The sequence below is a fragment of the Homo sapiens genome, chromosome 7 (assembly GCF_000001405.40).
Source record: "Homo sapiens chromosome 7, GRCh38.p14 Primary Assembly".
NCBI classification, from domain to species: Eukaryota; Metazoa; Chordata; class Mammalia; order Primates; family Hominidae; genus Homo; species Homo sapiens.
Genome location: NC_000007.14, coordinates 140,453,033 through 140,479,857, shown reverse-complemented (window position 1 = coordinate 140,479,857; position 26,825 = coordinate 140,453,033). Strand labels below are relative to the sequence as shown.

General features: G+C 45.9%; 1 protein-coding gene across 9 annotated transcripts, besides 6 other annotated features; it reads left to right on the top strand.

Moving 5' to 3' along the window:
* Positions 223–332: a silencer, noted in NCBI's record as "silent region_18714". NCBI's record gives its function as "represses an Ori minimal core promoter by ATAC-STARR-seq in GM12878 lymphoblastoid cells {active_cell/tissue: GM12878}" and the evidence as "EXISTENCE:reporter gene assay evidence [ECO:0000049][PMID:35858748]".
* Positions 223–1,122: a biological region, named in NCBI's record as "H3K27ac hESC enhancer GRCh37_chr7:140178571-140179411".
* Positions 247–1,087: an enhancer, noted in NCBI's record as "H3K27ac hESC enhancer chr7:140178571-140179411 (GRCh37/hg19 assembly coordinates)". NCBI's record gives its function as "activates a minimal SCP1, AML or CMV promoter by ChIP-STARR-seq in naive H9 embryonic stem cells {active_cell/tissue: H9 hESC(naive)}" and the evidence as "EXISTENCE:reporter gene assay evidence [ECO:0000049][PMID:30033119]".
* On the top strand, positions 289–26,825 carry MKRN1 (makorin ring finger protein 1). Of its 9 annotated transcripts, none has more exons than NM_013446.4 (8): positions 353–698; positions 7,847–7,975; positions 19,922–20,151; positions 20,625–20,851; positions 22,992–23,206; positions 23,958–24,068; positions 24,625–24,763; positions 25,129–26,825. In NM_013446.4, exons 1-8 carry the CDS (start codon positions 514–516, stop codon positions 25,339–25,341), a joined length of 1,449 nt encoding a protein of 482 aa, NP_038474.2. In that variant the 5' UTR covers positions 353–513; the 3' UTR covers positions 25,342–26,825. The 9 variants fall into 9 exon arrangements, 8 of the variants coding, with proteins under 8 accessions (NP_038474.2, XP_011514298.1, NP_001278592.1 ...); XM_011515998.2 differs by lacking the exon at positions 353–698 and adding an exon at positions 870–1,021; XM_011515997.4 differs by lacking the exon at positions 353–698 and adding an exon at positions 1,196–1,258.
* Positions 623–762: a silencer, noted in NCBI's record as "silent region_18713". NCBI's record gives its function as "represses an Ori minimal core promoter by ATAC-STARR-seq in GM12878 lymphoblastoid cells {active_cell/tissue: GM12878}" and the evidence as "EXISTENCE:reporter gene assay evidence [ECO:0000049][PMID:35858748]".
* Positions 1,043–1,122: a silencer, noted in NCBI's record as "silent region_18712". NCBI's record gives its function as "represses an Ori minimal core promoter by ATAC-STARR-seq in GM12878 lymphoblastoid cells {active_cell/tissue: GM12878}" and the evidence as "EXISTENCE:reporter gene assay evidence [ECO:0000049][PMID:35858748]".
* Positions 22,548–23,401: an enhancer, noted in NCBI's record as "H3K27ac-H3K4me1 hESC enhancer chr7:140156257-140157110 (GRCh37/hg19 assembly coordinates)". NCBI's record gives its function as "activates a minimal SCP1, AML or CMV promoter by ChIP-STARR-seq in naive H9 embryonic stem cells {active_cell/tissue: H9 hESC(naive)}" and the evidence as "EXISTENCE:reporter gene assay evidence [ECO:0000049][PMID:30033119]".

Genomic DNA, 26,825 nt, shown 5'->3' with positions numbered 1-26,825 from the left:
GCAACCATATGTGGGTCTGCTGTCATCCTTATTCGAGAGAGGCTGAAACGGAGGCTCAGATAGAACAAGTACCTAGCTCAAATATTACTAGAGAAATGGGAAAGTGCAGATTCAAACCCAGGTCTTCCGACTGCAAGTCCCTAGTCCCCAGCCCCAGCTCCACTATATCAGCCTCTGCTAGGAAGAAAGCCGCTAACTATGGACTTTCGTCGCCGGGGTTTCGAGCCTAGGACACACCTGTACAGACCCCCGTTTGCCCCGCCCCTTTCCGGAGGAGACGTCCCCTCCACCAATGAGCGGCGCCGTGGGCGGGCCGCGGGCGCGCATGCTCTGGGCCCGCAGTTGAAGTGGCGAGAGCGCTCAGATACGCGACGCGTAGCAGGCGGGGACCGAACGGGTGCCTCAGTGTCCTTCCCCTCCCCTCGCCTGGCCTCGCCGTCCTCTCCCCGCAGCCGGACCGGAACTATGTGATCCCGGAAGTTCCGGGGCCTTTGCTGTGTGGGATAAACAGTAATGGCGGAGGCTGCAACTCCCGGAACAACAGCCACAACATCAGGAGCAGGAGCGGCAGCGGCGACGGCGGCAGCAGCCTCCCCCACCCCGATCCCCACAGTCACCGCCCCGTCCCTGGGGGCGGGCGGAGGGGGCGGCGGCAGCGACGGCAGCGGCGGCGGCTGGACTAAACAGGTCACCTGCAGGTAGGACGTTGCGCGGCGGAGCGCCGGGCGCGGGGAGGGGGCCGCGGGCCAAGCCTGCGGCGCGGGAGGGAGGAGGGCGGCCGGCCTGCGGCTAGAGGCGCGGGAGGGCGGGGACCGGCGTTGTCTCGATCTCTGCAGCCCTCGCGGCCCCCGCTGCCGCCGCGTTCCCCCAGTCACTGCGTCAACCCCCGCTGGGCCGCGGAGCCCTCAGCGCTGTCCGCGGAGGCCTGGCGGTGCGCGATTACTGCGGAGCCGCGGGGCTGCACCGCCGCTTACACTTCCCTGAGCGCTGCCTGAGCTGGCTGCGAGCGCATCGGGGAGAGGTGGGCTGGCTCCTCCCCTGCCGCTGGAAGGATGCCCCCGCCGCTGCCTCCGGCTCCCGGGGCTCGGGAGGTGGTCACTTGAGGCCGGTCTCCCAGCGATCCTCTCCGGGCCTAGACACCCCGCCGAGGGCCCCAGCGAGCTTGCCTGGCTCCCGGCCCTCTCCTCTCTCCGTGCCATCCGTTTGTAACGTCTTTTCACGTCCCTCCGTCCCTCCGCCCCCCATCCTCCGCCCAACTGTGAGAAGAAGCTTTTGTATTTCTTCTTTGTATGTTTGTCGAGGTTGGCGGTGCTGAGCTTTGTCTTAGAAGCAGGCGTTCGGGGGCCGGGGTCGTCTTCTCCACCCGCGGTTTTTTTGAGCTGCAGATTATTACCCTCCCCCAGCGCTATGTTCCTCTTTTGAAATTTACGCATCTTCCGAAGGGAGTGAAAGGGCTCTTCGCTCCCGGAAGAGAGAGAGGTTTGGTTTTGGTTTGATATGCGAGACGAAAATATTAGAAAAATTAAGGGATGGCGGTTGTATGGATGTGTATGGTTGTAAAAAACTACCTAGCTCTACGCAGAAGAGGGCATTTAATTGTACGTTTTTTATTTTCCGGTTTTTAAATAGTGATCAGTAGCGACTGTAAGCTTTTCTTTTTCTATCAGTTGAATAAATCAACTGAAATGCCGGTTTTCACCTGGGTGGTATAATTTATATGCAAGTATGTAAAAATGATTCCTAATTAGAACTTGTAGTATTAAGGGTGAAATTTGAAACCTTCCCAGTCTTTGATGTGATACATTTATCCTGGCGACCTTCGAAGGTCTCTCAGCCTTTGATATGATACATTTAAGGTGTGAAGGATAAGCTTAATTATTTTACATAATGGGATGTAGAAAGCATAAACGCAATTTCAGGTCACTTGTCTTATTCATCGGTGGATTGTAAAAGTGGAATATTGCCAGGAATGATGATTTTAAAGTTTCTACTCATGGAGCAAATTATTTGAATATCTGTTTCCCTTTTACAATGCTACAGTTGATCTATATGTGCTAGTTACATCTTTTAAAAGATTGAAACCGGCCTGTCGGGGTGGCTAGGTCGGCGTGGTGGCTCACGCCTGTAATCCCAGCATTTTGGGAGGCTGAGGCGGGCGGATCGCCTGAGGTAAGGAGTTCGAGACCAGCCTGGCCAACATGGTGAAACCCTGTCTCTACTAAGAATACAAAAATTAGGCCGGGCACAGTGGCTCACACCTGTAATCCCAGCACTTTGGGAGGCCAAGGCAGGTGGATCACGAGGTCAGGAGCTCAAGACCAGCCTGGCCAAGATGGTGAAACCCCGTCTCTACTGAAAATACAAAAAACATTAGCCGGGCGTGGTGACAGGCGCTTGTAATCTCAGCTACTCCGGAGGCTGAGGCAGGGAGTTGCTTGAACCCAGGAGGCAGAGGTTGCGGTGAGCCAATATCACACCACTTCACTCCAGCCTGGGCGAAAGTGAAACTCTGTCAGAAGAAAAACAAAAAAGAAAAAGAAAGAAAAGAAAGAGCTTAGATTTACTAGTTTTTGGGGGTTTTTTGTATAGCTTTTGCTTGAGACAGTTTTTTATTGTTGTGCAGATTCCTTGATAGGTCTGGGGTTTTAGTGTTTGACATTGTTTTCGGTTGTTCTAGGTACCAACATGATCTCTTACTTAAAACTATTTTCTCCTTTAGATAGAGGAATGTCAACTATCATTTTTTTTTTTTTTTTTTTGAGACAGAGTTTCCCTCTTGTTTCCCAGGTTGGAGTGCAATGGTGTGATCTCTACTTACCACAACCCCCGCCTCCCAGGTTTAATTGATTCTCCTGCCTCAGTCTCTGGCATTACAGATGCCTTAGTAGCTGGGATTACAGGCGTGCACCACCATGCCCACCTGACTAATTTTGTATTTTTAGTAGAGACGGGCTTTCTCCGTGTTGGTCAGGCTGGTCTTGAACTCCCGACCTCAGGTGATCTGCCGGCCTCAGCCTCCCAAAGTGCTGGGATTAGAGGCGTGAGCCACCGCACCCGGTCTATGATCCTTATCGTTCACTTTGAGCTCTCTGAGAAGAGTAGGGCCCTATTTTATCTGCAGGGCTTTCTTTCCTCAGTTCCTCAGTTTCTTTCCTCAGTTCCAGTATCATGAACAGGATACTCAGTTACTGAGTATCCTGAGCAGATACTGAGTAAATGCTTGAGTGATGTTGATAAAGTCATATACCTAGAATTACCCACTTTAACAGGAACTTTGTAAGATTCCTCTGCTTTCATTAAAAAAAAAAAAAACAAAACTTGTAAATTACCAAAGACAAAGTACTTAACAGAACACATGTGTATCTTCCTTTTTTTTTTTTTTTTTTGAGATGGAGTGTCGCTCTGTCGCCCAGGCTGGAGTGCAGTGGCGAGATCTCAGCTCACTGCAACCTCTGCCTCCTGGGTTCAAGCGATTCTCCTGCCTCAGCCTCCTGAGTAGGTGGGATTACGCCCGGCCACATGTATATTTTTTCTGGAACTACCTTATTCAATCATTCAGTAAGTAAACATTGCACGCCAGCAATGGGAGACACAATATTAGGTGTTCAAGAGAGTGCAGATGTATGTACTGTATTATAAATAAACATTTTCAATATGTTTGCTAGGTAAACATCACCTAAAGAATCAGGTAGAGGTGTGTTTTAGTGTTTGTGCTCATTTCTCCCTATAGCACATCACTCCTGTATCTAGGAATTTGACTAAAGCTATTTTCTTCACTTAGAAGTTTTGATTAGAATGTTTTTAATTGCTCGGAATCACCTGTATTTTCCTACTGGTTACATTTTTTCTAATGTTTCTCCTGGGGTTTTCATTGTGTTTTATACCTTTCCTCAGAAACTGTGTTATGCTGCCACCACCAGGCTGTTTTTCATATCTTTTATTAGAGCAATACTAAGAAACAGAAATGCTCATTGCATCTGCTACCTTGAGTTACCTTGAGTGTGTGAGGTTAGAACAGTTAATACTTAAAGAGAAGTTGTAATTTGAATTTAGACCCCTCTTTATTAGAGTGCTTCTATAATGGCAGATAAGTGTTCTGGTAGTTGAAATAATACACAAAAAAACAAGTGTTTAATTTTTAATTTTTCAAAAAACTCTTTTCTTGATTTTTATTTGTATTTATTTGTATTTTTTGAGATAGGGTCTCGCTCTGTCCCCTAGGCTGGAATGCAGTGGCAGTGTCTTGGCTCATTGCAGCCTCCACCTCCCAGGCTCAAGCAATCCTCCTGCTTGAACCTCCCCAGTAGCTGGAATTACAGGCACGTGCCACCACCCCAGGCTAATTTTTTTTTGCATTTTTGATAGAGACAGGGTTTCACCCTGTTGCCTAGGCTGGTCTTGAACTCCTAAGCTCAAGTGTTTCACCCGCCTCGGCCTCCTAAAGTGCTGGGATTACAGGTGTGAGCCACCATGCTTGGCCTTGAAAGTTGTGTTTTGTTTGTTTGTTTGTTTGTTTTCTGAGATGGAGTCTGTGTCGCCCAAGCTGGAGTGCAGTGGCACGATCTCGGCTCACTACAACCTCTGCCTCCTGGGTTCAAGGAATTCTGGTGCCTCAGCCTTCCGAGAAGCTGGGATTACAGGCACGTGCCATCACACTCGGCTAATTATTTGTACGTTTAGTAGAGATGGGGTTTCACCATGTTGCCCAGGCTGGTCTTGAACTCCTGACCTCAGGTGATCCACCCACCTTGGCCTCCCGAAGTCCTGGGATTACAGGCATGAGCCCCCGTACCTGGCCTCAAAAGTTTTTAAAAATGTGGTTAACGTAACTTAAAGATCAGCTGGGCGTGGTGTCTCACCCCTGTAATTCTAGTACTTTGGGAGGCCAAGGCAGGTGGATCACTTGAGGTCAGGAGTTCGAGACCAGCCTGGCCAACATGACGAAACCCGTTCTCTACTAAAAATACAAAAATTAGCTGGGCGTGGTGGCGGGCACCTGTAATCCCAGCCACTCTGGAGGCTGAGGTGGGAGAATCACTTGATCCCAAGAGGCAGAGGCTGCAGTGAGCCAAGATTGCACCACTGCACTCCAGCCTGGGTGACAGAGTGAGATTTCGTCTCAAAAAAAAAAAAAAAGAAAGAAGGAAATCCTTCAGAAATTCTTTATCTGAGTGCTGTGACGTCCATAGTGAAATTTATTACTTGGAAACTACATAGTGGTTGTGAGAGGAAATAAGTAATAAATATTAAATGGTATTAAAAAGATTATGCAACTGGGAAAGAAAAATTAATTTGCTATCGCTACCATGATTCACCATCACATCTAGCTGTCTTCTACAGCCTTTTATTTATTTATTTTTTTTTTGAGACGGAGTCTCAGTGGCGTGATCCTGGTTCACTGCAACCTCTGGGCCCCCCCCAACCCACTGCGAGTTCAAGCAATTCTGCCTCAGCCTCCCAAGTAGCTGGGACTACAGGTGTGTGCCACCATGCCTGGCTAATTGTTTGTTTTTTTTGTATTTTTAGTAGAAACAGGGTTTCACTGTGTTAGCCAGGATGGTCTTGAGCTCCTGACCTCATGATCCACCTGCCTCAGCCTCCCAAAGTGCTGGGATTACAGGTGTGAGCCACCGCACCTGGCCTAATTTTTGTATTTTTGGTAGATAGTGGGTTTCACCATGTTGGCCATGCTGGTTTTGAACACCTGACCTCAGGTGATCCACCTGCCTCTGCCTCCCAAAGTGCTGGGATTGTAGGTGTGAGCCACCGGGCCCACCCTACAGTCTTTTATTCTTTCTTTCTTTCTTTCTTTCTTTCTTTCTTTCTTTCTTTCTTTCTTTCTTTCTTTCTTTTTTTTTTTTTTTTGAGACGGAGTTTCGCTGTTGTTGCCCAGGCTAGAGTGCAGTGATACAATCTTGGCTCGGTGCAATCGCCATCTCCTGGGTTCCAGCGATTTTCCTCTCTCAGCCTCCAGAGTAGCTGGGATTACAGGCTTGTACCATCACACTCGGCTAATTTTTGTATTTTTAGTAGGTACCGCTTTCACCATGTTGGTCAGGCTGGTCTCAAACTCCCAACCTCAGGTAATCCACCCGCCTTGGCCTCCCAAAGTGCTGGGATTACAGGCATGAGCCACCGAACCCGGCTTTCTACCTTTTTCTAACAAGTATATATTATGTGCACAGATAGTTGGAGATAAAAAGGGGAATAAACCAGTCTTTACCCATCAGGAATTTATAATCTAGTTTGATAAATGGTATACTCACTCATTAAAAGTTAAATATCAAAGTAAGAAGTGTCACTGCAGATGAATTGATTAAATGCCTTATCTATTCTATAATTTGTAGAAATTCCTAAAGAGGTTGTTAAGATGCCTAGAGATACTCTGAGGGTGCTGTTTGGTTCTCTTGTACCCTTACAGGGTAACTTGGCAGTTTCTTGTTCTCTATGTTGGGGGCCACTATTAGGTTTCTAAGAGGCACAGCAGTAGGGGGATTCTAGTAAATTTTGTCTTTTACTGCACAGTGTCTCATGGAGACAGAGTCTGCACAGTGGAAGGAACTTCAGAAATAATATATGGCCCAGGTTTTCACCGAAGGCAAACTCAACTTGGGGTGAATCTGGATGATGTTTTTTTTTTTTTTTTTGGTGGTATCATTTAAAAACAAGACATATACTTATATTCATTGGTTTTTGTTTGGAGGAGAAATTCTTTGACGTAGACTATATCTTTTTTTCTTTTTCTTTTTCTTTTTCTTTTTGAGATGGAGTCTCTCTGTTGTCCAGGCTGGAGCGCAGTGGCTCAATGGCACGATCTCGGCTCACTGCAATCCCTGCCTCAGCCTCCCGAGTAGTTGGGATTACAGGTGCCTGCCACCATGCCCGGCTAATTTTTTGTACTTTTAGTAGAGATGGGGTTTCACCATATTAGCCAGGATGGTCTTGATCTCCTGACCTCGTGATCCATCCGCCTTGGCCTCCCAAAGTGCTGGGATTACAGGTGTGGGCCACCACGCCTGGCCCTTTTTTTTTCTTTTTGTTATGTAAGTTAAACAGTTTTCATAATCTAAGGCGTATTATTATTACATTTTTTTGAGACAGAGTCATAGTCGTGCTCCATCACCCAGGCTGGAATGTCAAAATAGTTCGTTGTAACAATGCAAAAACAAGGGCCAGGCGCAGTGGCTCACGCTTGTAATCTCAGCACTTTGGGAGGCCGAGGTGGGCAGATCACAAGGTCAGGAGATCGAGACCATCCTGGCTAACATGGTGAAACCCTGTCTCTACTAAAAATACAAGAAATTAGCCGGGCGTGGTGGCGGCGCCTGTAGTCCCAGCTACAAAGCAAAAACACAATGCAAAAACGGACTAATACACTTGCTTTACTCCTGTTTTCTTATCACCTTCTTTTTATTTTTTTTTTTTGAAATGGAGTCTTGCTCTGTCTCCCAGGCTGGAGTGCAATGGCGCGATCTCGGCTCATTGAAACCTCAGCCTCCCACGTGTAAGCAGTTCTCCTGCCTCAGCCTCCTGAGTAGCTGGGATTAACATGTGTGCCACCACACCAGCCAATTTTTGTATTTTTAGTAGAGACGGGGTTTCACCATGTTGCCCAGGCTGGTCTCGAACCGCTGGTCTTAGACCCCTGACCTCAGGTGAGCCACTCACCTCAGCCTCCCAAAGGTACTGGGATTACAGGCATGAGCCACCATGCCTGGCCCTTTCTTTGTGTTTATTTCGTATGTTTGTGTATTTACTGGTTGAATATATTAGTCATGAATACTAATTAGTTTTAATATTTTCAAGGATTGGTTTTAATCCAGTTTTGTGGTCTTTCGTCTCACAGGTATTTTATGCATGGGGTTTGTAAGGAAGGAGACAACTGTCGCTACTCGCATGACCTCTCTGACAGTCCGTATAGTGTAGTGTGCAAGTATTTTCAGCGAGGGTACTGTATTTATGGAGACCGCTGCAGGTAAGAATTTGTTTATAAATTTGTTCAGGGGTGGGTTGGAGGAAAAAGGTAAAAGACATACTTCTGATAGCTTTATATGTCACTGATTAAAAATAATGCTTTGAAAATGACTCTTGGCTGGGCAGTGGCTCATGCCTATAATCCCAGCACTTTGGGATGCTTAGGTAGGAGGATTGCTTGATCTTGGAAGTTTGAGACCAGCCTGGGTAACCTAGTGAGACCTCATGTCTACAAAATATAGAAAAATTAGCTGGGCATGGTGGTGTGCGTCTGTAATCCCAGCTACTTCGGAGGCTGAAGCAGGAGAATTGCATGAACCCGGGAGGTGGATGTTGCACTGAGCCAAGAGCCCGCCACTGCGCTCCAGCCTGGGCAACAGAGCGAGACTCCACCTTAAAAAAAAATTGGGTAGGGCTTTTCTATCCTCCTAGTTCAGAAATGACTAGGTGTATTATCTGTGGATGTTAAACAAGTAACCCTCAAATTTATTTTTTATTTATTTTTTTGAGACAGGGTCTTACTGTGTTGCCCAGGCTGGAGTGCAGTGGTGTGGTCACTTCTCACTGCAGCCTCAACTTACCAGGCTGAAATGATCCTCTCACCTCAGCCTCCCAAGTAGCTGGGACCACAGGGATGCACCACCTCATTTATTTAGTTTTTTGTAGAGATGGGGGTCTTAATATGTTGCGTAGGCTGGTCTCAGATTCCTGGGCTCAAGCAATCTTCCTGCCTTGGCCTCCGAAAAGTGTTGGGATTACAAGCATGAGCCCCAGAAACTGGCCCATCCCCAAATTTAGTAGGTTAAAACAGTGAACATTTATTATCTCAGTTTCTGGGGTTCCGGATTCTGTGAGTGCCTTAGCTGGATGGTTCTATCTCAGAGACACTTATGAGATGGCAGTCAAAATTTTAGCAAGTCATCTGAAGACTTGATGGGGACTCCAGGATATTTTTTGTGTGTGTGAGACCGAGTCTTGTCCCTCTGTTGCCCAGGCTGGAGTGCAGTGGCAAGATCTCGGCTCACTGCAACCTCTGCCTCCCAGATTCAAGCAATTCTCCTGCCTCAGTTTCCCAAGTAGATGGGATTACATCTGCGTGCCACTATGCCCGGCTAATTTTTTATATTTTTGGCAGAGACAGGGTTTCATCATGTTGGCCAGGCTAGTCTCGAACTCCTGACCTCAAGTGATCTGCCCACCTCGGCCTCCCAGAGTGCTGGGATTACAGGTGTGAGACACAGTGCCCAGCCAGCATTGTTTTTTGTTTGTTTGTTTGGGTTTTTTTGTTTGTTTTGTTTAGGATGGAGTCTTGCTCTTGTCGCCCAGGCTGGAGTGCAGTGGCGCAATTTCGGCTCACTGCAACCTCCGCCTCCTGGGTTCAAGCGATTCTCCTGCCTCATCTTCCGGAGTAGCTGGGATTACAGGCGCCCGCCACCACACCTAGCTAATTTTTGTATTTTTAGTAGAGACGGAGTTTCACCATGTTGGCCAGGCTGGTCTCGAACTCCTGACCTCAGGTGATCCACGCGGTTCGGCTTCCCAAAGTGCTGAGATTACAGCCGTGAGCCATGGTGCCTAGCCCAGTATTGTTTTTAAGAGGTCTTACTCTCATGACTGTTGGCAGGAGACTTTGGTTTCTCACCACTTGGCCTTTTTTTTTTTTCAAGACGGAGTTTTGCTGGTCACCCAGGCTGGAGTGCAATGGCATGATCTCAGCTCACTGCAACCTCTGCCTCCCGCGTTCGAGAGATTCTCCTGCCTTGGCCTCCAGAGTAGCTAGGATTACAAGCATGCACCACCACACCTGGCTAATTTTTTTTTTTTTTTTTTTTTTTTTGAGACAGAGCCTAGCTCTGTCGCCAGGCTGGAGTTCAGTGGCACAGCCTCAGCTCACTGCAACCTCCACCTCCCAGGTTCAAGTGATTCTCCTGCCTCAGCCTCCCGAGTAGCTGGGATTACAGGCATGCACCGCCACACTCAGCTAATTTTTGTATTTTTAGTAGAGATGGGGTTTCACCTTGTTGAAAGGATGGTCTTGATCTCCTGACCAGCCCACACCAGCCTCCCAAAGTGCTGGGATTGTAGGCATGAGCCACCGCGCCCGGCCCACACCCCACTAACTTTTGTATTTTTAGTAGAGACGGGGTTTCACTATGTTGGCCAGGCTGGTCTCAAATTCCTGAGCTCAGGCAGTCCACCTGCCTTTGCCTCCCAAAGCGCTGGGATTACAGGCGTGAGCCACCCCGCCTGGCCCACATGGGCCTTTTCATAGGGATACTTTAGTATCCTTGCAGCTTGGCAGCTAGCTTTCCCCAGAGCAAACAATTTAACAGAGGAGGCAAGGAAAAGCCACAATGCCTTTTATGACCTAGTGTCAGAAGTCATATACTGTTATTTCCACTGATTCTGGACTAAGTTACTAAGTCCAGCCCACATGTAAAGGGAGAGGATTGGGCTCTACCTTTTGAAGGAAGGCATATCAAAGAGTTTTGTATGTACTTTAAACCACTACCCTCGGTAAGACTTTTGACAGTGTCATAGTAAATTTTTTTTTTTTTTTGAGATGGAGTCTCGCTGTCACCCAGGCTGGAGTGCGGTGGTGGGATCTCAGCTCACTGCAAGCTCCGCCTCCCGGGTTCACGCCATTCTCCTGCCTCAGCCTCCTGAGTAGCTGGGACTACAGGCGCCCGCCACCACGCCTGGCTAATTTTTTGTATTTTTAGTATAGACGGGGTTTCACTGTGTTAGCCAGGGTGGTCTTGATCTCCTGACCTCGTGATCCGCCAGCCTCAGCCTCCCAAAGTGCTGAGATTACAGGCGTGAGCCACTGTGCCATAGTCATAGTCAATTTTAATGTCATTATCAGAAAATGTAGTGTGAGCCACTGGGTTCAAATAGAGTTCAGAACCTGACATTATTGATGGTGTGGGATATTAATGTTAAGTCATCCCACATCTGTTTATTAAGAGTCCAGTAAGGATGAGGGGAAAGAGAAGATCTTTTTCAAATGACTGTGTAGAAGTTCAGAAGTTGATCTCATAGAAACTTTGTTTAGTTGCTACTCATTTTGCCCTTTGCTAATTTGTCATTGCATTATTGCTGAAAAAGGGGGAAAATGACACAATGACATTATTCTCAAACTCTCCACCAGGCATGTCTTTTTTTTTTTTTTTTTTTTTTTTGTGAGACAGAGTCTCAGTCTGTCGCCAGGTTGGAGTGCTGTGGCATGATCTCAACTCACTGCAACCTCCGACTCCCTGGTTCAAGCAATTCTCCTGCCTCAACCTCCGGAGTAGCTGGGATTACAGGCATGTGCCACCACACCCAGCTAATTTTTGCATTTTTAGTAGAGTTAGGGTTTCACCATGTTGGCCAGGCTGGTCTCAAACTCCTGACCTCAGGTGATCCACCTGCCTCGGCCTCCCAAAGTGCTGGGATTACAGGCGTGAGCCACCGCACCTGGCCTCTCCACCAGGCATGTCTTTTGCAGTCCCAATATAAAAGGCAGAGTCATGAGAACTTCACACTGCAATGGTGAATGGACGAATCTTTGTAGTGGTATAGTCTCTGCAGGTATTGAGGCTAATTGTAAGGGAGCTGTGTTCCTTGAACTGGGTTCTAGTCTTTTGAGAGTTACTGCCAACTGTGACTGGGGCAGGAGGAGTTGAATATTGATGAGAGTGAAGAATCCAACCTCCCAAGCAGAGGGATGAGAATAGACTGTGAGATAGAATCAGAAAGCTATAGATAATTAGCAGTTGGTCCTTATTTCAGAAGAAGTGCTCATCTGAATGGACTGTGTAGATGGAGTGAATGAAAAAAATGAAGGTTAAATTGAAGAAATCTGTGCTAAGCCTCTGCATTTTTTTTTTTTTTTTTTTGAGACAGAATTTCGCTCTTGTTGCCCAGGCTGGAGTGCAATGGCATGATCTCGGCTCACCGCAACCTCCACCTCCCGGGTTCAAGTGATTGTCCTGCCTCAGCCTCCCAAGTAGCTGGGATTACAGGCATGTGCCACCATGCCCAGCTAATTTTGTATTTTTAGTAGAGGCGGGGTTTCTCCGTGTTGGTCAGGCTGGTCTTGAACTCCTGGCTTCAGGTGATCCGCCCGCCTCAGCCTCCCAGAGTGCTGGGATTACAGGCGTGAGCCACAGCCCCCTGCCTGGGCTCTGTGTATTAACCATCTTATTTTTCAGGCAACTTTGCCCGCCCCAAATAGTTTGAGACCAGAGGAAATTAGGTAGGTTCCCTATTTTGGTGAGCCTCTGACGTTGAGGCAGATGCAGATGGCTCCAAGTTGAAAGGGACTGGGCACAGTGGCTCATACCTGTCATCCCCGCGCTTTTGGGAGGCTGAGGTGGGCGGATCACTTGAGGTCAGGATTTCAAGACCAGCCTGGCCAACATGGTTAAACCTCGTCTCTACTGAAAATACAAAAATTAGCTGGGCATGGTGGCACGTGTCAGTAATCCCAGCTACTTGGGAGGCTGAGGTGGGAGAATCACTTGAACCTGGGAAGGTAGAGTTTGCAGTGAACCTTGATTGTGCCACTGTACTCCAGCCTGGGCAAAGAGTGAGACTTCGTCTTAAAAGAAAGTGGGGGAGGGGGCGGCTGGGCTTGGTGGCTCATGCCTGTAATCCCAGCACTTTGGGAGGCTGAGACAGGAGGATCACCTGAGGTCGGGAATTTGATATCAGCCTGACCTGTGGAAAACCCCGTCTCTACCAAAAATACAAAATTACCCAAGCATGGTGGCGCATGCCTGTAATCCTAGCTACTCTGGAAGCTGAGGCAGGAGAATCACTTGAACCCGGGAGGTGGATGTTGTGGTGAGCCAAGATCGTACCATTGCAGTCCAGCCTGGGCAACAAGAGCGAAACTCTGTCTCAAAAAAAAAAAAAAAGAAAAAGTTGAAAGGAACCTTAATTGGTTTGTTGTTTGTTTCTTTCTTTGTTTTGAGATCTGGTCTTGCCCTCTTGCCCAGGTTAGAGTGCAGTGGTGTGAACACGACTCACTGCAACCACCACCTCCAGCTAAGTTTTTTTATTCTTTTTTTTTTTTTTTTTTTTTTTGAGACGGAGTCTCGCTCTGTCGCCCAGGCCGGACGGCGGACTGCAGTGGCGCAATCTCGGCTTACTGCAAGCTCCGCTTCCCACGTTCACGCCATTCTCCTGCCTCAGCCTCCCGAGTAGCTGGGACTACAGGCGCCCGCCACCGCGCCCGGCTAATTTTTTGTATTTTTAGTAGAGACGGGGTTTCACCTTGTTAGCCAGGATGGTCTCGATCTCCTGACCTCATGATCCACCCGCCTCGGCCTCCCAAAGTGCTGGGATTACAGGCGTGAGCCACCGCGCCCGGCCTTAAGTTTTTTTATTCTGTTTGTAGAGACGGGGTCTCCCTATCTCACCGAGGTTGGTCTCAAACTCCCAGCCTCAACTGATGCTCCCACCTTTGCCTCCCAATATGCTGGGATCATAGGTGTGAGCCTACTGGGCCTGGCCTCTTAATTTTCCTTTTAATAAGGATGTAGCTGCCTCTTTTCTAGAACTCTTTAGAGGATGAGCCAGAATTGAGCTGGGTTTAGATCTCTTAGCATAAAGTGAAAGGAAGTAGAGAAACTATAGTAGTCTACTTGAAAGTTTGGTGATAATTGTTGAGTACAGGCTGATATAGGTGATTATTAAAAGGTTGATTGTGGACTAGCTAAAGAAAGAATCTTAAAGAGAGGCTTGCTCTATGACTGCTTGTTTTCCTGTTAGAATGATATCTAGGAACTTCAACCTTATCTTTTTTTGTTTTTTTTGAGATGGAGTCTCGCTCTGTCACCAGGCTGGAGTGCAGTGGCGTGATCTCGGCTCAATGCAATGTCCGCCTCCTGGGTTCAAGCGATTCCGGTGCCTCAGCCTCCTGAGTAGCTGGGACTACAGGCGCGCACCACCATGCCCAGCTAATTTTTTTGTATTTTAGTAAAGACAGGGTTTCACCATGTTGGCCAGGATGGTCTCGATCTTCTGACCTCCTGATCCGCCCACCTCGGCCTCCCAAAGGGCTGGGATTACAGGCGTGAGCCACCACACCCGGCCACCTACCTCTTACTCTTAGTGTTGGGATCTCTTTATGTAACTTGCTCAAAGCCCAGGGATTTCCCTCTTCACAGAGGGAGTAGATCATTGATAATGAAGGATAGCATCATAGCCCCAACAGTTGAGAGGATTTTCTGCATCAGTGTTTCGTAATGGTGGTGCTTTTGTTTAGTGAGGCCAGTTCTTTGTTGCTCGGGACTGTTTTGCATATTGCAGATATCTAGTCTAGTATTTTCCCAGAATGCCATTAGAACTCCCAGTCTTTGTTTCTGGACACCCTCTGGGGAAAGGGGCAATATTGGCTTGGTTGACTTCTTTCTTTTTTTTTAGATGGAGTCGTGCTCTGTCGCCCAGACTAGAGTGCAGTGGTGCAATGTCACAACCTCCACCTCCCACCTCAGCCTCCCGAGTAGGTGGGATTGCAGGCATGTGCCACCATGCCTGGCTAAATTTTGTTATTTTTAGTAGAGACAGGGTTTCACCATGTCAGCCAGGCTGGTCTTGAACTCCTGCCCTCAAGTAATCCACCTGCCTCGGCCTCCCAAAGTGCTGGGGATTACAGGTGTGAACTACCGTGCCTGGCCTGGTTTGGTTGACTTCTTGTTTGGAGTTTTGGTTTTTGGACCAACTGAAGAATCCAATACTTTAAAATACTAAAGGCCACAGAAGCAATGGGGTGGGAGTTGTAAACCAACCAGGGAAAGGGTTATTTTCTCTTACAGAGACAGAAAAATTGATTAAACTTCCTTAGACATTTGTACTAGGCTGGGCGGGGAAGATGGCTTGAGCCCAGGAGACCAACTTAGGCAACATGGCAAAACTACGTACCTACAAAATAAAAATTAGCTGGGTGTGGTGGTGTGTACCTGTAGTCCCAGCTACTGGGGAGACTGAGGTGGGAGGATCACCTGAGCCCAGGGAGGTTAAGGGCGCAGTGAATTGTGATTGTGCCACTGCTCTCCAGTCTGGGAGACAGAGTGAGACCCTGTCTCAAAGAAAACAAAAAATATAAAGCTTGTAAAAATAACTAATTTTTTTTTTTTTGGAAATTATCTTTTAAACCAGGGAGTTTTGTTTTGTTTGTTTGTTTTTTTGAGACTGAGTTTCACTCTTGTTGCCCAGGCTGGAGTGCAATGGCACGATCTTGGCTCACTGCAACCTCCGCCTCCCAGGTTCAAGCGATTCTTCTGCCTCAGTCTCCCGAGTAGCTGAGATTACAGGCATGCACCACCATGCCCAGCTAATTCTTTTGCGTTTTTAGTAGACACGGGGTTTCTCCATGTTGATCAGGCTGGTCTGGAACTCCTGACCTCAGGTGATCGCCCACCTCGGCCTCCCAAAGTGCTGGGATTACAGGTGTGAGCCACCGTGCCTGGCTTATTTTGTTTTTTAAGGGACAGGATAGTCTTGCTCTGTCATCCAGGCTGGAGTGCAGTGGTGTGATCGTGACTCACTATAGCCTCAAATTCCTGGGCTCAAGTAATCCTCCCACCTCAGCCTCCCAACTAGCTGGAATTATAGGCTGGAGCCATGAAGCTTGGCTCCAAGGGAGTTACTTAATCTGAAAAGTAAGGCTTTGGGCCTGGGCGCGGTGGCTCACGCCTATAATCCCAGCACTTTGGGAGGCTGAGGCCAGTGAATTGCTTGAGGTTAGGAGTTCAAAGACTAGCCTGGCCAACATGGTGAAACCCCGTCTCTACTAAAAATACAAAAATTAGCTGGGCTTGGTGGTGCCGCATCTGCAATCCCAGCTACTTGGGAGGCTGAGGCAGGAGAATCACTTGAAGCCGGTGAGCTGAGATTGCACCACTGCACTCTAGCCAGGTGACAGAGTGAGACTGTCTCAAAAAACAAAACAAAAGTAAAATGAAAAGTGAGGCTTTGGGCTGGATTTCTTTTTATTTTTTTTTTGAGATGGAGTCTTGCTCTGTCGCCCAGGCTGGAGTGCAGTGGCGCGATCTCAGCTCTCTCACTGGAAGCTCCGCCTCCCAGGTTCACGCCATTCTCCTCCCTCAGCCTCCCGAGTAGCTGGGACTACAGGCGCCTGCCACCACGCCCGGCTAATTTTTTGTATTTTTAGTAGAGACGAGGTTTCACCGTGTTAGCCAGGATGGTCTCCATCTCCTGACCTTGTGATCCGCCCACCTTGGCCTCCCAAAGTGCTGGGATTACAGGCGTGAGCCACCGCGTCCAGCCTGGGCTGGATTTCTAAGGATACTTGCTGCTCTAACATTTCAGAATACTGCCATCCAGTAGAACTTCATGCAGTACTGGAAATGTTCTTCATGTTGCTATCTAACGGTAGCTTCTAGCTCCATGTAGCTTTTGAACACTTGCAGGTATAGCTAGAGGAAGGACTGAAGAACTGAGTTTAAAATTGTATGTAAGTCTGAAGAGTTAGATGTGGGCAGTGGTTGGCTGTACTGTATAGAGCAGCTTTAGAGTCCCATTAGACCTAGAACCCCATCACTTAGTAGGACAGTGAGGTCATCTCTAAAATGATAGAATACTTCCCCACAGTTCATGAGTGAAAGTGAAAGAGCATATTCATGATAGTTTCTTCCCTTATCCTTCAGCTTATAGGATTCCACTCTATAGAACAATGCATTGGGTTTTTGTGGATGATAGCAGGATACTCAGCTTACTTTTGCTGCAAGGCGAGGTAGTTTACCTAAGGCTTAAGAGGAGGAATATGAATGTCTTTGGAGATGGTGGTTTCACCATGTTGGCCAGGCTGGTCTCGAACTCCTGACCTCAAGTGATCCACCTGCCTTGGCCTCCCAGAGTGCTGGGATTACAGGCATGAGCCACCGCGCATAGTCTTTATTGGTTCTGAGTTGGAGTCTAGCTCTGTCACCCAGAGTGGAGTGCAGTGGTGCGTTCTTGGCTCACCGCAACATCCGCTTCCTGGGTTCAAGTGATTCTTGTGCCTCAGCCTCCCAAGTAGGTGGGATTACAGACGCACACCACCACACCCGGCTAATTTTTTTGTATTTTTTAGTAGAGACGGGGTTTCACCGTGTTAGCCAGGATGGTCTCGATCTCCTGACCTCGTGATCCACCCACCTCAGCCTCCCAAAATGCTGGGATTACAGGCGTGAGCCACTGCGCCCTGCCTAATTTTTTTATTTTTAGTAGAGACGGAGTTTTGCCATGTTGCCCAGGCTTGTCTCTAACCCCTGAGCTCAGGCAATCCACCCACACCTCAGCCTCCCAGAGTGCTAGAATATGAATGTTTGAGGTAATAATAACAATGATTAAAGACCAGCTCAGTAAAATGTTTGCCATAAGCTGGAGTAGAGCCTTTAGTTAGATTTTACTTTATTTTTGCGTATAAACATAGGCACCTATAACACAGATGACCCAAAGTTAGTAATGTTTCATTATAAGAACCACTTGATAACAAACTATAAATTATGTAGCACAGTTAAATTTACTATATGCATAATTAATACATAGCATCTGAATAAAACTCGGTGTGCCGAGCACGGTGGCTCATGCCTATCACTTTGGGAGGCTAAGGCAGGAGGCTTGCTTGAGCCCAGGAGTTGGAGACCAGCCTGGACAACATAGGGAAACCTTGTCTCTACAAAAAATAAAAAAAGTTAGACCAGCATTGTGGCACACACCTGTCGTCCCAGCTACTCAGGAGGCTAAGGCAGACGGATTGCTTGAGCCCAGGAGGTCGAGGCTGCAGTGAGCTAAGGTCACGCTACTGCACTCCAGCCTAGGAGATAGAGTGAGTCTCTGAAAATCAGTCAATTTCTTAGTGTAAAATGCTAAAAGAATTGTGATAATTGTCTTTTCTTTTCTTTCGAGATGGAGTTTTGCTCTTGTTGCCCAGGCTGGAGTGCAATGGCACCATCTAGGCTCACTGCAACCTCCGCCTCCCAGGTTCAAGTGATTCTCCTGCCTCTGCCTCCCAAGTAGCTGGGATTACAAGCATGCGCCACCATGCCTGGCTAATTTTGTATTTTTAGTAGAGACGGGGTTTCTCCATGGTGGTCAGGCTGGTCTCGAACTCCCAACCTCAGGTGATCCACCCGCCTCACCCTCCCAAAGTGCTGGGATTACAGGCCTGAGCCACCACGTCCAGCAGGAACTGTGAGAATTTTCTCAGGCAGAAAGATGCTTGCTATGCTTTGCTTTTTTTTTATTATTTTTTGAAACAGAGTCTCACTCTGTTGCCCAGGCTGGAATGCAGTGGCCTGATCTTGGCTCACTGCACCCTCCACCTCCCATGTTTAAACAACTGTTATGCCTCAGCCTCTCCTGAGTAGCTGGTATTACAGGTGTGCGCCACCATGCCCGGATAATTTTTTATTTTTAGTAGAGACCAGGTTTCGCCAGGCTGGTCTTACACTCCTGGCCTTAAGTGATCTGGCCTCCTTGGACTTCCAAAGTGTTGGGATGACAGGTGTGAGCCACCGCACCAGGCCAGAAAGAAGGTTCTTGAAGGAAATAGATGTATTTTCCCCACGTATTTGGAGATGGTGGTGGTTTAATGTTTACAGATGAAAAGGAGAGAATGCATAGGGGCAAAATTTGGAAGGGGAAATGGTGAATGGATGGATTTTCTTAGAAAAAGAATGTACATATTGTGTATTGTATAAATATTGTCTCTACCTTTTAATAGTGACAGCATTTTATTTGATGTGTTGGTAAAATGTTCCACATGTCTGCTTATTGACCTTGTGTCAGCCTTGCTTTGAAATCAGTCAGTTTTGCCTGCAGGGTTTCTGGCAGAGTTACCATGGGAACTATAGACTGTCAACTATCTGAAACTCCTAATTAGAGTGGAATTTGAAGTAATAAGTGGTATATAGCCAGGGGTATGGGCCTACAGGCCAAATCTGGCCAAAGGCCGTTTTCATAAATCAAGTTTGATCGGAACAGTTACACATTCCTTTAAATAGTGCCTACACCTGCTTTTGCACTGCAGTTTCAGAGTTGAATACTTGTAGTTGTGATGTTGATTGTATGACCTACAAAGCCTAAAATATTTGTGTATTTGATGCTTTAAACTTTGGTGACCCCCAGTCTATTGCCTTCCTACTCAAAAGTATGGTCTCTGGACCAGCAGTCTTGGCATCACACATGGTATAACTAAATATGCAGAATCATAGGCTTCTCTCTGCACTCACAAATACAGGCACATTGATGCTCAAAGAGAATCCAAGGAATGTATTAGGAATATATGGCCGTACGTGGTGGCTCACACCTGTAACCCCAGCACTTTGGGAGGCTGAGGTGGGTGGATCATCTGAGGTCAGGAGTTCGAGATCAGCCTGGCCAAACGGCATCTCCACTAAAGATACAAAACTTAGCCAGCCTTGGTGGCTGGCGCCTGTAATCCCAGCTACTTGGGAGGCTGAGGCAGGAGAATCCCATGAACCCAGGAGGCAGAGTTTGCAGTGAGCTGAGATCACGCCACTGCACTCCAGCCTGGATGACAGAGCAAGACTCCATCTCAAAAAAAAAAAAAAAAAGAAAAGAAAAAGGTATATATGAAGTTAGGCAGTGAGTGCTTACTTTTTTTTTTTTTTTTTTTTTGAGACGGAGTCTCACTCTGTCGCCCAGGCTGGAGTACAGTGGCATGATCTCGGCTCACCACAACCTCTGTCTCCTGGGTTCAAGTGATTCTCCTACCTCAGCCTCCCGAGTAGTTGGGATTACAGGTGCGCCACCATGCCCAGCTAATTTTTGCGTTTTTGGTAGTGACGGGTTTTCACCACATTGGCCAGGCTGGTCTCGAACTCCCAACCTCTCTGGTGATCCACCCACCTCAGCTTCCCAAACTGTTGGGATTACAGGCTTGAGCCACCACGACTGGCCGACTGCTTACTTTTGAATTTTTTCTTAGATATGAACATAGCAAACCATTGAAACAGGAAGAAGCAACTGCTACAGAGCTAACTACAAAGTCATCCCTTGCTGCTTCCTCAAGTCTCTCATCGATAGTTGGACCACTTGTTGAAATGAATACAGGCGAAGCTGAGTCAAGAAATTCAAACTTTGCAACTGTAGGAGCAGGTTCAGAGGACTGGGTGAATGCTATTGAGTTTGTTCCTGGGCAACCCTACTGTGGCCGTAGTAAGTATTCTGAAGAAGAAAATAAGAGTTAGAGGGCTGGATAGCAGTTCATCCATTTGCTTAGTTTTGACAACTTTCCCCTTTCTGCTTCTATTCCTTTTTTAGTTTAATCTTAGTACAGTACTTTAATTTGGATTACCTAAGATTTACAGATAGAGTGAAGGAAATTTTTAATCCCAGTGAAATGAATTCAGAATGTTTTGAAAAACTGAATCCTTTCGAGTACTTTTTGAAATTAAATTTCAGTTACCCAAGACATAGATAAAGAAGCAATTTTTTTTTTTTACAAGTCTAATCTTGGAAATAACAGCGGTAGAAAAAATTCCTTTCTTTCAAGTGAAGAAGTTAGTTCAGTAGACTGTTTTGGTATTTCATTGCAGTTTTATTTTCATTTTTTGCGGTTAGATTCTCAGTTCTCTTATAGTTCATGCCTTATCTATTTGGACCTTTACCACCCTCTTACACATTTTCAGCTGCGCCTTCCTGCACTGAAGCACCCCTGCAGGGCTCAGTGACCAAGGAAGAATCAGAGAAAGAGCAAACCGCCGTGGAGACAAAGAAGCAGCTGTGCCCCTATGCTGCAGTGGGAGAGTGCCGATACGGGGAGAACTGTGTGTATCTCCACGGAGATTCTTGTGACATGTGTGGGCTGCAGGTCCTGCATCCAATGGATGCTGCCCAGAGATCGCAGCATATCAAAGTAAGTCTTTAGGGAGATGTGTGTGTTATTAGATGTGAGAATCATTATTTGCCCTTTCACAGCATTGTGGGTTTATTTCAGAGAAACATTTGATGAATTGAATGGTTATCAGTGAGTAGGGAAGTTTTCCTTTCTTGGGCTTCTTGGATGCTTTATCAAGAAGTCATATTTCCAGTGAACAAAATTAACTGGGCATGGAGGCATGTGTCTATAGTCCCAGCTACTTGTTAGGCTGAGGCAAGAGGATCGCTCAAGCCCAGGAGGTTGAGGCAAAAGAAAAAAAGAAGTCCTACTTCCAGAAACTCAGACTATAGACTTCTAACATTTTTTTCCTCTTTTAAAAAATAATGTTTCTGAGATTCACATTGAATATGTTTAATCTTTTGAAAATGCACATTTCATTGGTTTTTAGTATATTTACAGAGATGTGCAACCATTACCATTTTACTAATTTTAGGATAATTTGATCATCCTACACCCATTAGCAGTCACTCTTTATTCCAGCCTTCCTCCAGCTCCTGGCAATAACGAATCTGCTTTGTCTCTGGATTGGCCTATTGTGGACATTTCATGTAAATGGAATCCTGTAATGTGGTCCTTTGTGATTGACTTCACTTCTTTCACTTAACATAGTGTTTTCAAGGTTCTTTGTGTGGTTGCGTGTAGCCGTTCTTAGTTTTGATGGCTGAATTATTGTCTTTGTATGGCTAGACCACATTTGTTTTTCCATTCATGAGTTGATGGACACTTAGATCATTTCCAGTTTTTGGCTATTATGAATAAGGCTGCTAGGAACATTTGTATATAGGTTTTTCTGTGAAGATATGTTTTCCGTTACCTAGGAGTGGAATTGCTGGGTTACATAGGAACTCTGCTTTACGTTTTGATGAACTGCCATACTTTTCCACAGTGGCTGCAGGATTTTACATTTCCAGCAGCAGTGTATGGGAGCCAGGGTAGGTTCAGAAGACATTGTGTTAGAAACTTTAACTTTATTGGAGCAAAGTTTGCTTCTAATCATTTCCATCTCTTTTAAATTTCCATCTTTTTAAATGTGGTTTTAGGGTGTGAGGCATGTTATAAGGTAGACATAATTTGATCCCTATCTTCAGCGTACTTTTGTGAATTTAGGCAGGATAAATCTCTATACGTTATATCTATATATTGAGGTAGTAGAACCTACCTCTGAATATATGTATATATGTTTTTTCTTTTAAAGGTTTAGGAAAAGACATGTTTAGTGATGATGTGAGATTATGGATGACATTGCTCTTCTGCAGTGTTATTTTTTTTATTTTTATTTTTTTTTGAGACAGAGTCTTGCTTTGTCCCCCAGGCTGGAGTGTAGCAGTGCAGTCTCGGCTCACTGCAGCCTCTGCCTCCCGAATAGCTGGGACTACAGGCATGCACCACCACGCCTGCCTCAGTTTTGTATTTTTAGTAGAGATGGGGTTTCGCCATGTTGACCAGGCTGGTCTCGAACTCCAGGCCTCATGTGATCCACCCAACCTTGGCCTTCCAAAGTGCTGGGAGTTTTCTGCATTTTTATGTTTCCTATAATCATGTTTTTTATAAGTTAAAATATGATGTCCACACAAAAATTGGTACATGAATGTTCTTGGCAGCATTATTTATAATAGCCCCAAAGTGGGCTAATCTAACCTAACCTAAGTGTGCATCAGTCTATCAAGCTGAGTAGTTGAAAAATCTCGATGAAGTTGTTTTTCTTTAAAGGCATAAGAGAGTTTACGTGCCTGTCACCCTTATTTTCCGACAGGTTTTAACTAGGGTCTTAACCTCATGTAGAAACCAGAAATAACAAACAGTATGGAAAACCGTCTTTAATGTAGTTGAGCTCCAGGTTTGGGGTAGAGAAAATTGGGTAATTTTTCAGTTCCCGAAGTTGAGTCCTCATAGTTTGATTTTCTAGTATTGTTAAGTACCACCGCAAAAACAAACAAACAAAAAAAAAACACCACACCTGTGTTTACTTGTCAGCAAAGCTAATTTTCGTGTCAGCTTGGGAACATTGTTTTTTCAGTTGACTATTTGATTCTTTGACTGTGAATCATTAACTGTTGCTCAAGTTTTTCAGGGTTCAATGACTGGATTCCACTTGTTCTCTCTCCACCTTCTCTAGTCGTGCATTGAGGCCCATGAGAAGGACATGGAGCTCTCATTTGCCGTGCAGCGCAGCAAGGACATGGTGTGTGGGATCTGCATGGAGGTGGTCTATGAGAAAGCCAACCCCAGTGAGCGCCGCTTCGGGATCCTCTCCAACTGCAACCACACCTACTGTCTCAAGTGCATTCGCAAGTGGAGGAGTGCTAAGCAATTTGAGAGCAAGATCATAAAGTGAGACTCCTCCCCAGTCTTCATTTGTGCTTTCTCTTTTGGGGAAGAATTTAGTAACTTGTGCCAACTTTCAACCAGATGGACCGCATTTAAATGCATGCATTTTATCTTGAAACTGGGATATTCTAATGGGGATTTCTTCTTTGTATTTCAGCTAGCTTCTAGGTTAGTTGGTCTATCTACTTTTATTTGAATGAGGAAACCCTGTGTATCAGTTAGAATCTTCGTGCTTTTTCTGAGGAGATTGTGTTTAATGGATTATTAGCCAGTTTAGGCTCAGTGAACAAACTGATCTAGCTCTGAATGTATGTTTCCTGACGTTTTACATTTCCACTTTCCTATTCCATTCATTAAGCTAGCCAACAATCCACCATCCTTTAAAGATTGTTCTCATAACTGAACAAAAACCACATAATCTAAACAGAGCAAAGCTACAAGAAATAAATTTATTTAAACGAAAGAAAAAGGAGTCTGTGTGAAATGTCTTCTTTTGTTTTTGTTTTTTACCTAAGTTATATTTTTCAAAAAAAAAAAAAAAGAACTGGCTAGCCCTTGAGTTGGATTTATAAAGGAGGTTGCCTTGCTTGAAAGAAATGGTCAGTTGTGTGACAGTATGTGGAACCCTTTCAGGAAATGCCCACGTGCCTTTCAGTTAAGTCTTTAAGTCTGGAGGCGACACACCAGGGTGTGTCCTTGAAGAGTGGGCCTGTAAAAGGGGAATTTGCATTGCAGCCTGTTCATTGTTTCCCAGGTCCTGCCCAGAATGCCGGATCACATCTAACTTTGTCATTCCAAGTGAGTACTGGGTGGAGGAGAAAGAAGAGAAGCAGAAACTCATTCTGAAATACAAGGAGGCAATGAGGTATGAGCACTGCAGCCTTTTCTCAAGCGAAGAGCCCAACAGAGCTTGGGTTCACTTTGAAAAGAATGGTGCTGCATTATACACTCCTACCTCCTTCCTACCCTTCTTTGACTTCCCAGGACAGTTTATTTTGTCACCCTGATAACATCCAGTATATATCTTGCTATAACACAGTCCTTGGGGTCCATGCCAAGGGACTGTGTTATAAAGAGGTCTCTACTGTTGACAAGTAAGGCCCCATGAGTGGGGTTCTACCTTATTCTGAATCCGTGTCATAGCTGTCCTATGTTCTCATGTGTTGGCTTTCTAGAAGATTTTCTCTCTATGGCATCTGCTTGTACTAGAGCTATTAACCAGCATAGACTTGAACAGAGTTACCGGTTTCTAGTTAGTGTTTCTTGCATTGGCACACACATGTTTATAAGAACACATCTTGGGGAGGGCTGTAAGCTGACATACTGGTTCTATCCCTACCTGTTTAAAGAAACCCCGGATGATAGTCAAATACAGACCTGAAATCCACTGTGAATAAGGGTTGCGATATTTTCCTTTCCAGCAACAAGGCGTGCAGGTATTTTGATGAAGGACGTGGGAGCTGCCCATTTGGAGGGAACTGTTTTTACAAGCATGCGTACCCTGATGGCCGTAGAGAGGAGCCACAGAGACAGAAAGTGGGAACATCAAGCAGATACCGGGTAACTCTCACTGTTTTTTTAAAGGAGGGGAAATTCCAAGGTATCAGTTGAGTCCTGCACATATTGGGGTAGGGGAAGGAGAAGGTTAACGCTCAGGTCTGGGAGCGAAAGTGTAGAGTATTAAAGGAGGAAACAAACCTCAGAAAACTGGGAGGGATAGGAAAGGAAGAAAAAATGTGTGTTAAAGCTCTAGCCTAAACGATTTCCATGAAGTAACCAGAGGGGAGGAAGTGGTAAATGGAAACCCTAACTAAGAAGTCTGGTTCGTCATGCCCTCTGGTGTGCTGGACGTTTTGCCTTATAAACAACAGGATAGAAGATACTGCTCGACAGTGCCATCCCTATCATGGCCTTGTTTTTTACAGGCCCAACGAAGGAACCACTTCTGGGAACTCATTGAGGAAAGAGAGAACAGCAACCCCTTTGACAACGATGAAGAAGAGGTTGTCACCTTTGAGCTGGGCGAGATGTTGCTTATGCTTTTGGCTGCAGGTGGGGACGACGAACTAACAGACTCTGAAGATGAGTGGGACTTGTTTCATGATGAGCTGGAAGATTTTTATGACTTGGATCTATAGCAACCTTGCGTGGCGTGTGAACTGGTCTGCTGACCTCAGACAGCAGCTGTCCCCTGTGGTGGTGTGGCAGTGCCTGTGTTCTCTCCTAGGCAGGCCTCTCAACTCCAGGTGCTGTCCTAAGAATTTTTACCCAGGGCCTGTCTTCTCAACCCCTCACCTTTCCCTGAGGAGTGTGTTGTTTTCCCTGTTGAAAAAAGTTACAAAAATAAATCTTAAAGTTAGTTTTTTGTAACACGAATTTAACTGTCAGACAGTTAGTGTAGGTGTGTTGCGTCATCTGTTTTCAACCAGATTGCATTTATGGACTTTTCACACACTCATTTTGAGGACCCCAGGTTCAAAAGTAAAAGCAGTGGCCCTGCTTTGGGGTCCAAGAATAGGAGTGATGGGTGAAGGGACCTAAGCTGGCCAATAGCCCTCTGCCCCAGACATGGGATGTGGATCCTTGAGGTTTCTGGTGAAATCTGCACATCTGTGTTTTTATATCTGTTCCCTACCCTGTAATCCCTACCACGTGCACTTGTTCTGTGGTTTTGGTCTCTTGTTTAATTGCACACAAGTAATACTACTGGGTAACCAGAATCAGGTGTGAATGTGTTGAGATTTTTTACTGTTTTGCATGATAGGAAAATTGAGAAAGAATACGTATAAAAGATAGAGAGGCATAACATCAATGCAGAGTTGGAAGTTGGCTCCCAAGGGCTGACATGGTGTGAGTGTGTGGGTGTGTGATAAGCTTCTCATCCCTGCATAGATGCAGTATTCTTAGCCTTAGTAGAAAAACCTGGTTTAGTGGTTTAAGCCTTGTGTGGCAGATAGATCTTAAAGGGCAAAGCAGTATATTGGTAGTTGTCAATATAGCAGTGCTAGCTCTGTCTATATAAATAGAGAAATGGGGTTAGCCATAGAGGTTAAAACTACCTGGTTATCCCATATAATAACACAAACTGGGTCTTGGATACACAGTTGTATTTAATGTTTTACGATCTAGCCTTTCCAGTACAGGCACTTTCTGAGAAACCTTTGTCCTCACTTGAGGCATTTTGTTGTCGGGTTTTTGTGTTTGTTTTTGTGGGTATTTGCCTCATTCCACCCCTGAGCTTTCAGGTAGACAGACGTGATTCAAAACTCTGTTCTAAGGTGTTTATTGTAGTGGAGTAATGGGTTTGCAGTGATAAGTCATACTTTTCCACCGAAAGGGAGGGCTTGGGAATCCCTGAGATTAGCTAAAGTTAAGTTGTTGGAAGAATTCCTTGATTGGAAATTGTACCTTTGTGTTTTGTTGCTCTGTTTCCTGAAAATAACTCGGGGATGCTCCTGGTTTGTCCATCTACTGCTTTGATTCCTTGGATCCCACCCATTCTTTCACTTTAAGAAAAAACAAATAATTGTTGCAGAGGTCTCTGTATTTTGCAGCTGCCCTTTTGTAAGAAGCACTTTTCCCAAATAAAACAATTAAAAAAAAAGTTGGCTGTTCTGTGTAA